This window comes from Homo sapiens, chromosome 2 (assembly GCF_000001405.40).
Source record: "Homo sapiens chromosome 2, GRCh38.p14 Primary Assembly".
Classification (NCBI taxonomy): Eukaryota; Metazoa; Chordata; class Mammalia; order Primates; family Hominidae; genus Homo; species Homo sapiens.
In genome coordinates this window covers 165,657,471-165,670,047 of record NC_000002.12, presented here as the reverse complement: position 1 = coordinate 165,670,047, position 12,577 = coordinate 165,657,471, and the positions used below count along the sequence as shown (strand labels likewise).

The following is a 12,577-nucleotide window of genomic DNA, read 5'->3' as shown; positions in this document are numbered from 1 at the left end:
CCATAATTGAAGAGCTAAAAGTAGATAAATAGCAGTTATCCAGAGAGAAATTCTTCTTTGCCATTTGGCTTAGCTAGTTTACAGGTGATGAATACTGACTTAATTTATGATTTGACTTAATCATCTTTATTTTATGTTTATCCTATCTCTGTATGCATGTATCTATGTTGTACTGTTAGGATCTCCAGGTCAAGGCCCCTGTGTGTATGTATGTGTGGGGTGGGCATGTGTGAGTGGGCACGCATGCACATGTGTGTATGCTTGGTTTCAATGATGACACTTAAGATGGACTTAGTTCTTAAGCCACTGTGTAAACTTGTTCAGACTCTCTACAAATAAAACCACTATAACTTTTTTTTGACAGATGGAAACCAAACATCTTAATTTTGCAGATTCGTATGCACTGATAACTGTGAGAAAACCATTCCCAAAGCCCTATAGAAATAAATCATTTTGCCCATCTAAACATACCTGAGGGATGGGACACATTACTGTCAGAATCAGTGGAATGATACCCAGACAGCTTTGAGCCAAATATAGGGATCCCAAATAAAAATCAAGGCTCAACTTTTTGTTTGTTTTTACCATATCATGTTGTGAATGAGTTCTTCCATAAATTTTAATGAGATGAAATTTTTGGTGCCATCAAGGGCCCCCAAACACCTAATTCAATTCAACTAATAAAATGATTAGAAGAGAGAAACAATACTAAAAGTATAGATTGACTAAAATGCCAGGGCAAAACAAAATAAAACAAAAAACAAAAATAAAAACACTTCTTTTTAGCACTTAAAAGCTATGTTTACTAACAAAATTTTCTGGTCATTACTGAATTATTCACACGTGTGAAAAAGAGAGTGATTTCCAGAAACAAGAATGTGAAAAACTAATTCAACTTCACAGACACTGATTACTGCATATTATAATAAGGATGATGATGTTGAGAATGACCTAAGCTGCCATATAGTAAATACTAGCCATTAAGTTCCATACTGTATATAAATTATCTCACCTAATTTGCATGACAATCTTATAAAGTAAAATTTTTTTGTAGTTGAGAAAATTGAAGTTCGGAGAATATAATTTGCCAAAGTCTAGCTAAATAGCCAATTAATGATGATGTTGAAGATCAAACTTAGGTTTATTTGACTCCAAAGCTTGAGCCATGCTTTCAAGACCAGTTGGAGTAAAAATTCTTAAGAGCAATGGTAGAAAAACTGAACAAAAGGAAACAAAAAAAGACAACGTGGCAGTACACTCTAAGAGCTGATCTCAGTGCTGTGGGGCAAGAGATAAAAGAGCAGAATAAGCTTCCCTAGAAATAGCTCACTCAGAAATAAAGGATATGGGCTGGGCGTGGTGGCTGACACCTGTAACCCCAGCACTTTGGGAGGCTGAAGCAGGCAGATAACGAGCTCAGGGGTTCAAGACCAGACTGGCCAACATGGTGAAACCCTGTCTCTACTAAAAATACAAAAACTAGCCAGGATTGATGGCAGGCACCTGCAGTCCCAGGTATTTGGGAAGCTGAGGCAAGGGAATTGCTTGAATCCAGGAGGTGGAGGTTGCAGTGAGCTGAGATCACACCACTGCACTCCAGCCTGGGTGACAGCGAGACTCTGTCTCAAAAAAAAAAAAAAAAAAAAGAAAGAAAGAAAGAAAGGATATGATTCAGACACAGAAAGCAAGAGCTCAGGAAAGAAGAAAACAGAGAGCAAACCAAAGATACAACATCTCACCAGTTAGTATTTCCTTTGGGTCCTACTTTTTGGGCATGTGGAGGTGGCCTTTCTAATGGAGAGGACATCAGATAAAGCTGGTTGAGCTAACGTATTACTCTTTTGATTTTCTCAGCTGACTTTTAACTTATTTATCCTGGCCTGAGAAATCTGTATAGCCTGTGGTCTAGTGTTGTAAGACTATATTAGCTTTGGTGATTGATTTAATGTTTATCTCCCCTATCATACTGTGAGCATGTTGAGAGCAGAGATGGCATCTGTCTTGTTTACCAGTGTATCCTTTGCACCTTGATAATTACCAGTCCCATAGTAATTGATTAATACATTTTTAAAATGAATAAGTGAATATTCTTAATCACTATGGCATATTGCCAAGCACTGTACTAGGTATGGAGTTTTATAGATGTACAACAGTTCTGCCATATAAGGAGGTTCCAGTCTGCTGGGGGAGATGACCGTGTAATAAATATGATATAATGTTGTAAGAGCACAAAATATATGTGCAAGTTATTGAAGTGGTGGGGTGGAAGAGAGAATAGACATGAAAAGGAAGGCTAGGTACAAAGTCACAAAGCAGAATTATTTACTTCCTATTCAGATTCCATAGTCTTTTTCAAAAAGAAAAACCTTCAAACCAAAAATGTGAGAACAGGCATGTCAGGAAGGATTTAAAGCAAAAGGGAGGTGAGGAGACAGCGAAAGAGGACTCCGCTGTTTTATGGAAGAATCTCCAGGCCCAGACAATTTATGTTTTGAGGCAATGAAACAGCTTGAAGTTATGGTTGTGCAGTGTAACAGTTTTGAAGAGTCATGGAGTAAAGAATTACAAGATAATCAAAGTGAGAACAATTTTTTTTAAAAAAAAGCTAGTTCTGAATAACAATATTCTAGAAAAAAATACTTAAAAAGATGGTCTCTGTACATGTGACAAAAAAGAGCAGTAATTATTAGACTATTGCCTAAGTTTACTACAGGGAATGTGTCCATTTTTCAATTAAAATTCCACGCAGAAGCTTAACATATGGAAGATAAAAGTGAGAATGAGATCTGCATCTTGGGCTTTCTGCCCTGGTCCCTAATCTCAGACCCCATGGATTACAGTTGGAAAACCAGTGCTCTAGTCCTGAAAATTTCTTTCTCCTTCCTTCCTTCCTTCCTTCCTTTTCTCTCTCTCTTTCTTTCTTTCTCTCTTTCCTTCCTTCCTTCCTTTTCTCTCTCTCTCTTTCTTTCTCTCTCTCTTTCCTTCCTTCCTTCCTTTCTCTCTCTCTTTCTTTCTTCCTCTCTCTCTTTCCTTCCTTCCTTCCTCTCTCTCTCTTTCTTTCTTCCTCTCTCTCTTTCCTTCCTTCCTTCCTTCCTCTCTCTCTTTCTTTCTTCTTCTCTCTTTCCTCCCTTCCTTCCGCCCTTCCTTTTTCTCTCTCTTTCCTTCTTCCTCTCTCTCTTTCTTACTCTCTCTCTTTCCTCCCTTCCTTCCTTCCGTCCTTCCTTTCTCTCTCTTTCTTTCTTCCTCTCTCTCTTTCCTTCCTGCCTTCCTTTCTCTTTCTTTCTTCCTCTCTCTCCTTCCTTCCTCTCTCTTTCTGTTTTCCTCTCTCTTTCCTTCCTTCCTTTCTCTCTCTCTTAACACCACTCTCTCTTTCCTTCCTTCCTCTCTCTTTTCTTCCTCTCTGTCTTTCCTCCCTTACTTCCTTCCTTTCTCTCTTTCTTCATCTCTCTCTATCCTCCCTTCCTTCCTTCCTCTCTCTCTCTTTCTTCCTCTCTCTTTCCTTCCTTCCTTCCTTCCTCTCTCTGTCTTTCTTTCTTCCTCTCTCTCTTTCCTCCCTTCCTTCCTCTCTGTCTTTCTTTCTTCCTCTCTCTCTTTCCTCCCTTCCTTCCTCTCTGTCTTTCTTTCTTCCTCTCTCTCTTTCCTCCCTTCCTTCCTTTCTCTCTCTCTCTTTCTTCCTCTCTCTTTCCTTCCTTCCTTCCTTTCTCTCTCTCTTTCTTTCTTCCTCTCTCCCTTTCCTTCCTTCCTCTCTCTTTCTTCCTCTCTCCCTTTCCTTCCTTCCTCTCTCTGTCTTTCTTTCTTCCTCTCTCTCTTTCCTCCCTTCCTTCCTCTCTGTCTTTCTTTCTTCCTCTCTCTCTTTCCTCCCTTCCTTCCTTCCTTTCTCTCTCTCTCTTTCTTCCTCTCTCTTTCCTTCCTTCCTTCCTTCCTTTCTCTCTCTCTTTCTTTCTTCCTCTCTCTCCTTCCTTCCTTTCTCTCTCTCTCTTTCTTTCTTCCTCTCTCTTTCCTTCCTTCCTCCCTTCCTCTCTCTCTCTTTCTTTCTTCCTCTCTATCCTTCCTTCCTTTCTCTCTTTCTTTCTTCCCCTCTCTCTTTCCTTCCGTCCTTCCTTCCTTCCTCTCTCTTTCTTTCTTCCTCTCTCTCTTTGCTTCCTTCCCTCCCTCCTTCCTTCCTCTCTCTCTTTCTTTCTCTCTCTCTTTCCTTCCTTCCTTCCTTGCTTCCTTTCTTCCTTCCTTCCTTTCTCTTTCTCTCTTTCTCTCTCTCTCTCTCTCTCTCTCTCTTTCTTTCTTTTCCCAGAATCTCACTCTGTCGCCTGGGACCCAGGCTACAGTACAATGGCACAATCATAGCTCACTGCAACCTTGAACTCCAGGGCCCAAGTGATGCACTCATCACAACCTTCCAAGTAGCTGGGACTACAGGCACATGCAACTGCCCAGCTAAATTTTAAATTATTTTGTAGAGAAGGGGTCTCACTATGTTGCCCAGGCTGGTCTTTAACTCCCGGCCTCCAGCAATTCTCCAGCCTCTGCCTCCCAAAGTGCTGGGATTACAGGTGCGAGCCACCCTGCCCGGCCAGAGAATTTCTTATTTTGTCTCTAAGACAAGAATATAGTTCTGAGAATTTCCCATTCTTTCACTCTGACAGAATTTCTTATGCTCTTCATGTGGAAAATGGAATGTAATCTGATTAATAAGAATATGGTTGGATATATGACTTTTAGTTAGCTGAGCAGTAAAAATGCCTCTAATACCAGTGATGCTCAGCCTCTTTTGTACCAACAAGGAGGCCAGGAATGAAGGATAACGGCATCTATACATCCTATCAGTAGCAGTGGCGCACCCTGGCAATGTTTCTCCCTGGGGGTCATGGTGGGGTGCTTCTCCTTTTACTCTTGAGGATAGCTACCTTGAGAGGATATCCTAAACTTGGCCCTGTTTTGTTAAATGCAATTTTAAGTCCATAACCTGGATGAAGACCTAAAAGGCAAGCTTATCACATCTACAGATGACAAGACCAAGTTTATTGAAATTAAATGTAACAAAACTTTATTGATCACTCTCTACAGGCCATGTCTAGCACTAAAGAGGGCTTTTGCCATGGAGATGTTACAAAATTTTGGTTTATATCATAATGCAGAGTTGGCTTAAAAGATCTGAGTTTTGTTTGCTTGTTTTTTGTTTAGTTTAGCTTATTTATTGTTTGTTTGTTTTTTGCTTACCACCAGCTTACTAAGAACAAAAAAAAATTGATCACAGTCCAAAAGCCACTATATCCTTAGTGTATTCCATGGAAAGAACATCCCGAACTTGGGAGAAGATAACGTAACATATTCCTGGAGCACCATGTCCAGGTCAAGTACCATATTATAAAGGAGACATAAATAGCCCTGTATCCAGAGGAAGGAAACCAGGGCAACAAAGAGCCTAAAAGCCATGCCCCAGGAGGATCAGTGGAAAGAACCAAGGATGTTTAATCCTGCAGAACAGAAACATATAGAGCCCATAAGCTTTCTTCAAATATTTGCATGTCCATCACCATTGCTTTCAAACAGCCAGAATTCGGAAAATAGGGAAGATTTACTCTGTGTACTTATGGGGCAGAATTCGGGTCACATGGCAGCAGGTTGCTCAATGTTAGGAAGAGCTTTCTAACAATTAAAGCTGCAAAATGAAATGCGCTATTTCAAAAAGCTGTGTGCTCTGGATCACCAGAATTGTTCAATAAGAGGCTAGAAAGCATAGGATATGTTTTTAATACAATAAATTCCTGGTTTTGTGGTACAAGTTGGACAGTGACCTAGTCTGTAAGGTCTCTGGAAAACTAAAGGAAAATATGTATATCATTTGGATATTGAGTCACATCTTATAATATAGTTCTTTAGCTCATTAGCTGTTAATTGCAGGTGGCAAACTGGAACCAATTTAATTATACCCTCGAAGAACTAGGAATGTTTGGTTGTTTTGTTAGCTTATGAGAATTTCAACAACCTGAAGTCACAATAGGACCCTGGAATACATATTACCACACAGTCACCAGGAGGGATGATGATAGTATCGACATATAAGACATATGAAAATTTCCTCTCAAATTTTTTTCTCCTACCCTCTGATTTAGACCAACATCGCTTCTTTCAGTGGTAGCTAATAAGCCAGACGGATCTAGTAGAATGCTAGTAAATATTTAACAACTGACACTCTGGAAAAAAAAATCTAATTTGTCATGTTTGCCAAATCTCATGGTTTAAATACACCCATCATAGCTGATTTCAAGCTACCATTGGGAAGAGAAGTACACAATCCACTTTAGTGAGCAACTTTAACAAGCTGGCTCCAGCACATCACTGAATATACCCCACATTTTAATCAGTAGAATCAGTGCAATTGACTTCCCTAAATTAACAGTCCAATGGTTGTTGCAGAGAAAGAAACTAAAGATTTGATTACATATGCTTAGTTGTTCCATTTAAACTAAAACACCAACAATATTTTGAAAGAACATATTCTTAAATGTATTGCATTTGCCCAGGGCTGCAGCCCACCCTTTCAGTCTCCATCATTTTGTTTAGGTTTATTTTCTGTCAAAATAGGTTGTGTATGTGACAGAGCAGGTATTGAGCACATCAAAGTTTTCCATTTGATGTTAAAGTGGGCCTCCATTTGGGGATGCATTCCGGAAGCTCTGACACTAAGTATGCTGTGGCATAATCTCTACAATCTAACAGAAATTCTGTAAGGATAAGTGGAGTTCAAACATATCATGACCAGCAGGTTCTGACACATCTAATAAAGAATCAGAGTATGGGGAAATAGTTAATAACACATCCAAAAATGTTGATGATTGATATAGTTCAACTGTTTCTCAAAAGCCTCTAATCTCTTCTATCTATCAGGGCATTTAAGGCCCTTATCTGGAAGATAAATCAAAAGACTTTTGAGGAGATACAAAGGGCAGGGCTGGAGGTAAAGTGGAGAATTATAATATTGCATTGGTAAGTCACTAAATGGGCAAAGCAGTCATAAATCTGAGATTTGGGATGAAAAAAATTTATGTAGAGTTTTTTTAAAGGTTAATCATTAAAGGAAGAGTTACCATCTGCCAACTTTTTTTGTTTGTTTTTTAAATGAGGGAAGGAGGGCAAGTAACAGCCACACATTACTCAAGGAACATATGACTGAAAACTTGAGAAAAGTACATAATTCTGAAAAGCAATTAGAAATGGCAGCAAGAATGAAGATAGACACTTGGATCTCAGAAATAGGAGGAACAACTTGGGTTGAAAAAATAAAAAGGCAAGCCAAAGCTGTGAAAGCTAAATTAAATTTCTTAGAACAAGGTGGTAGAATCCAGTATGATAGAACCCAGAGGCAATTGGAACACCAATGTTCTTTAAAACATACAAATGGCTGCCTAATGCACTTTACAGATACATGTGAATTGGGAATAAAGTCTAATGTAATTGTTCAACAATGTGGTGCAGATGATGAAATCTAAGCACTTAATTTGGAAAAGTGTATAGTATTAAGATGACTGCATTGATTACTGTGAAGAGTATGACATGTTTGAATGGGCTTGACAGAGAAGAAGAACTGTGCTCTGTAATTTAGAAATCTAAAGCTACTTATTTCTTCTAGAAATGCATTTTATTCAATCAGTTTTCTCTATTAGTTGTTTATAGACAATGTTTGAAAGACCAGCACCACTAACAAAAAAAGACACACTTGAACTCCCCCAAATAGAATTGGATTTGTTCTACTAAGGTAATACATACATATTATTTTTTGATAGATCTAAAATCATAACTTGATTGGAAGATGAATTACTAAATTAGGAGCAATTTTATGATCAAAACATACATTCCTACTTTTATTTTGTTTTCAAAATAACATCTTTATTTTGTTTTCAAAATAACATCTTTATTTTGTTTCCAAAATAACATCTATAGATGTACTATAATATCTAGAAGTGTATATGCATGTATTTCTTTTTCTCATATTTCTCTATTAAAGCCCCATTATGAGAGGTGCCATTATATAAATGTGTTCTCTATTTGGAACTCAGCAAAGACACCCTGGAAAGATACAGAGGGACAGTGGAAAGAGGAACTTCTTCTTCCTGTTTTGGGGCTGTTGGTTCTCAAAGAAGTAGAAGGAAAACTATCTAGCTCTGAGTTCGGTGAGTTTCCCATGGTGTACTACATGTCTCCATAATGATGGGTTTGGAAACTGTCTCTCTTGTCAGATGCTGCCTTTCCTCACTCCTTATTCAGCGGGCAATTCACTGTCACTCACAAAGGACCAACTCAGGCCAACTCACAGTGAGCAAAGTTTGTCTTTAACAATCCTTACTTTTCTTTCTGGAATGCTTTTCCGTACCAATGACCCTTCTGCTGCCCCAGTCAAAATAATGAAATCAATTTAGCCACATTTACAAAAGGTCCCTGGTTTATGATGGTTTGGCTTTTCATGAGTTTATGATGGTGCAAAAGCAATATACATTCAGTAGAAACTAGGCTTTGAATTTTGAATTTTGATCTTTTGCTGGGCTAGCAATATCCTTGCATGATACAGGGTATTGGGACAGCTCTGTCAGCCATGCAATCATGAGGATGAACAACTGCTACCTTATGGCAAACTGTGTGGCCAGATGATCTTCCTCTCCGGTAGGCCAATGTAAGTGTTCTGAGCATGTTTAAGGTGGGCTAAGTTAAGCCATAATGTTCAGTACGTTAGGTGTATTAAATGCATTTTTCAACTTAATGATATTTTAAATTTACGATGGGTTTATCAGGAGATAATTCCACTGCAAATTGAGGGGCATCTATATTTTGTTACTTACACCAGAGGTGTTTATATTTCAAACAAATACCACATTAAAAGTGAAATTTCAAGTATCAGAGTGAAATTTTTGAATAGCTATGTTTTGGGGTAGCTGGCTTTGGATAGCTAAACCACAGTCAATAATATTTTAAAAATCATAAAAGTTCACATACTAGAGGAATTACAATGAAAATATACACAAGTTTTTCTCCATTAATTCTCCTCAGAGTTTTAAAAAGCTGGTTCATATTGCTGTGATCTTTTAGCTTTGTGTGACATGTGTTTCTGAATACTTTAAGCACAGTGAGGTTAAGATTGGATCATCTCAAAATGTCATTATCTTTTAGGTTGGTATTTATTTGGAAGTAGTGATTATAACCAAATGCCTTTTGTTTACATTTCACCAAAGGGGAAAACTGTGTTTTCAATTACCAATAACAAACTGATACCTGACACTAGCTCAGATGATTGCCTCTCCAACATCCAACAATAAGCAGAATTTTAAAAAACAAATTAGTAATAGAGTGGTCTTTTGGCTCCTTCTTTTCTCATTCAGCTTATTTAAAAAATGTATGGAAGTAGCTGGATACAAATTATAGTACATAGCACATGGGAGAAGGTTGCTGTAGGTTTGTGACTTCCCCTTACATTCATCACATGTATCACGTGTCTCGGAGTTCACCACAATAAATCTTTTGGTTCTCAGACAGCGTGTCAGTCCTCCAGCTGTTAAAAACCACTGCACACAGTACCAGACCCCAGAGAGGATGACTCCCCAAAGGTACAAAGACTGTCTTTCTCAATGCCTATAGGAGCTAATCAATTAATTTAAGAATAGGAAGTAATAATAGAATCCATTTTCTATTTGGATGAGCCAACTTAACATCTCTGTGCTTCTTTTATTTCTCAGTTGTAAACATGTTCTAATAATTTACCTATTCCACTGGGTCTTCCTGAGGATTACATTAAATCATGTTCATAAAGTACCTGGCAAATAAAATCACTTAATAATTGGCAGCCATTACTATTGTGCTATCAATACTTGAATTTGGAGAACGACTTCACTCTTTGGGTAGAGGGTAGAGTTGGTTTGCCGTGGGTGACAAAGGCAGAGGGTGGATTTCAGAAGAGAAGCAAATCTGAGAATTTTTACTAAATTAAGCTACATGCAGAGCAAGCATAAAAAACAACAACAATAATAGAGGATTGCTACTGACAAAACTTTTAATGAGACCCGAGACTTTCAGTGAAACCTGCCAAAAATACTGCCAAAGTAAGAGACATGCTCTAAGCTAGCTTGTATCCAGCTTAATTTAAGTGACTGCTTTGCCATGAAATTGGGAACATGGCACGTACATACATTGCAAAGTACATGAAAACAAGATGTTTTGAAACACACATCACACCCCTGCTGACTGACTTTATTCTGAAAACTAAAAGTAATGCTAACCCAGCTGTGCTTATGGTGCTTCAGGTATTTAACAAACGACCATTTATGTTAAGTACGCTGGATTACCTAAGAAAGATTTTCGTTGTCATTAAATAATGATGGAAAAATATTTCCTATCAATTGATAAGGTGATAATCCAACGGAAGAGTGTCTTTAGTTGACAAAAGATGTTTTCAGTGTCATAATTCTCTCCATTTAATCTCTAAAGTGGCACAAAAATAAGTTTTTCCACTTGGATACCTTCCTGACATCTCTTGGTAACTCAAAAGCCCCTCAAACTCAGTATGTCCAAAAATGATCTCACTATCCACATCCCACCCCCAGCCTGTCCCCTTCCTGTGTTCCTTGTCATAGCAAAACAGTATTATCACCTACAACCCATTCAGTTTTGCAAGCCAGAAATTTAGGGGTCATTCCTGACAATCTCCTTCTCTTCCTCCTAAATCCAACCTGTCATTAAGCACTGCTGATTTTGTTTGCTAAATTTCTCCCTCTATTCATCTCTCTCCGACTCCCCTACCATCATCAGTCTAATATAACCTACTGTCACCTCTCTCCCTGACTGTGGTAACAGCTTTCTAACTGGTCTAACTTCATATATTCCATCCCGTCTCAACACCACTTACCCTACCCATAACTTTTTCTCCCACCATTTCGTGAGCTGGATCATATTCTGCCACTCCAACTCAGCTTAAAACTCTTGACGACTTTTGATGGCCTTAGGAAGTAGAGGAAAAAATACCTTAATATGGTTTACAAAGCCTCATTCCTGCCTCCTTCACGTTACTTCATTCTTCTTGCCTCTGCTCCAGCCACACAAGCCATTGTGGACTCACTGTGTTCCCTCCTGGCACAAGGTAGCTGATATGGTTTGGCTGTGTCCTCACCCAAATCTCATCTTGAATTGTAACTCCCATAATTCCCATGTGTTGTGGCAGGGACCCAGTGGGGGATAATTGAATCATGGGTGCAGTTCCCCCATAGCGTTCTCATGGTAGTGATAAGTCTCATGAGATCTGATGGTTTTATAAGGAGTTTCCTTTTTCACTTGGCTCTCACTTTCCCTCTTGCTGCCGCCATGTAATAAGTGCCTTTTGCCCTCCGCCATGATTGTGAGGCCTCTCCAGCCATATGGAACTGAGTTCATTAAACCTCCTTTTCTTTATAAATTACCTAGTCCCGGGTGTGTCTTTATCAGCAGCATGAAAACAGACTAATACAGTAGCTCTGGCTTTTCTTGATATCTGAAATGCTCTTGCCAATCCTCTTTGCCTAGTCACCTCTTCAGATTTTCATTTCACTTCCTTGAGAAAGCTTTCCTTGACCTCCTTGACCACATCAATTCCCTATTATAAACTTTCATAATACCTTGCAACTCTTCTACATTGCACTCAATGAAGTTGTGCTTTTATTTTGTTTAGCACTTTTATTAATATTTTTCTTTTCTACTATTCTATAAGTTCCTATAGAGAGAGGACCACATCTATTTTTGGTCTCCTACTAGCCCTAGCCCAAGCACAGGGCATATGATCTCACAATATTCAATAGTAAATATTGGTGGAATGAATGAATAAATGATGTCAGGTAAGTTTCCCACATTGCTTTTAGCAAACAGACTATATCGTTTTGCTTTAAAAAAATGTCAGCAAGCAGTCTGTTATGTAAAGTGCCCAGTTTGTTTCGTGATTATAAATATGAAAATGGTTAACTCAATCAAATTGCTGTAAGGATATGAGACTTTGCAGAAAATGAGTTTGTTTTTTACCTTTAGTTTTAAGGAGTTCAGCTTTTCCTCCCTAAGGTGTTCTCTCAACATCTCCCGGTGGAGCCTCTCCTGCTCCCTTGCAAACTCGCCAAGAGTGTACTGGCGCACGCTGTTATGGCGGCTGGACATCCCCAGGGTGCTTCCCCCTTGACTGGGCACACTTGTGAAGCCTTGCCTCCTGGTGAAGTAGTACACGGTGACACAACTAAAATGTACATTCTTTGTCCTCAGTCGTTTCTCCCTTTTGAGAATGGAGGAAGCTGAAAGAGAAAGAAACAATCCTGTGAACACTTGGGGCAGCAGTTTTCAGACAAGGCCAAGAAAATGCCATTTGGTGATCTTGAATCTATCTGTGGCCAACCCTTGTTGGCTAGGGCACTCTAAAACTGTTATATCCCAGAGTTGGCATAGAGTTCTAATTTTCTTTCTTAAATTTTCTTCTAGCTGCAGCAGAGTAGACTTCTTTTAAGTATAATGGTAGACTGTGCTTTTAAGTATAATGATAATCTAAGCAAACTTTCAGTAAAGTTGTCAATAGTCTGTGAATCTG

At 38.7% G+C, this 12,577-nt stretch overlaps 1 protein-coding gene across 6 annotated transcripts in view; it reads right to left on the bottom strand.

Annotated features, from left to right (window-relative positions):
- The window catches only part of CSRNP3 (cysteine and serine rich nuclear protein 3), a 219,710-nt gene that overhangs the window by 19,360 nt on the left and 187,773 nt on the right, over positions 1 to 12,577 (bottom strand). For all 6 annotated transcript variants that reach the window (XM_047445908.1, XM_024453155.2, NM_001172173.2 and 3 more), the window contains one exon: positions 12,028 to 12,287. In XM_047445908.1, the coding sequence (XP_047301864.1) occupies positions 12,028 to 12,287 (260 nt within the window). The remainder of the gene's footprint in view (positions 1 to 12,027; positions 12,288 to 12,577) is intronic.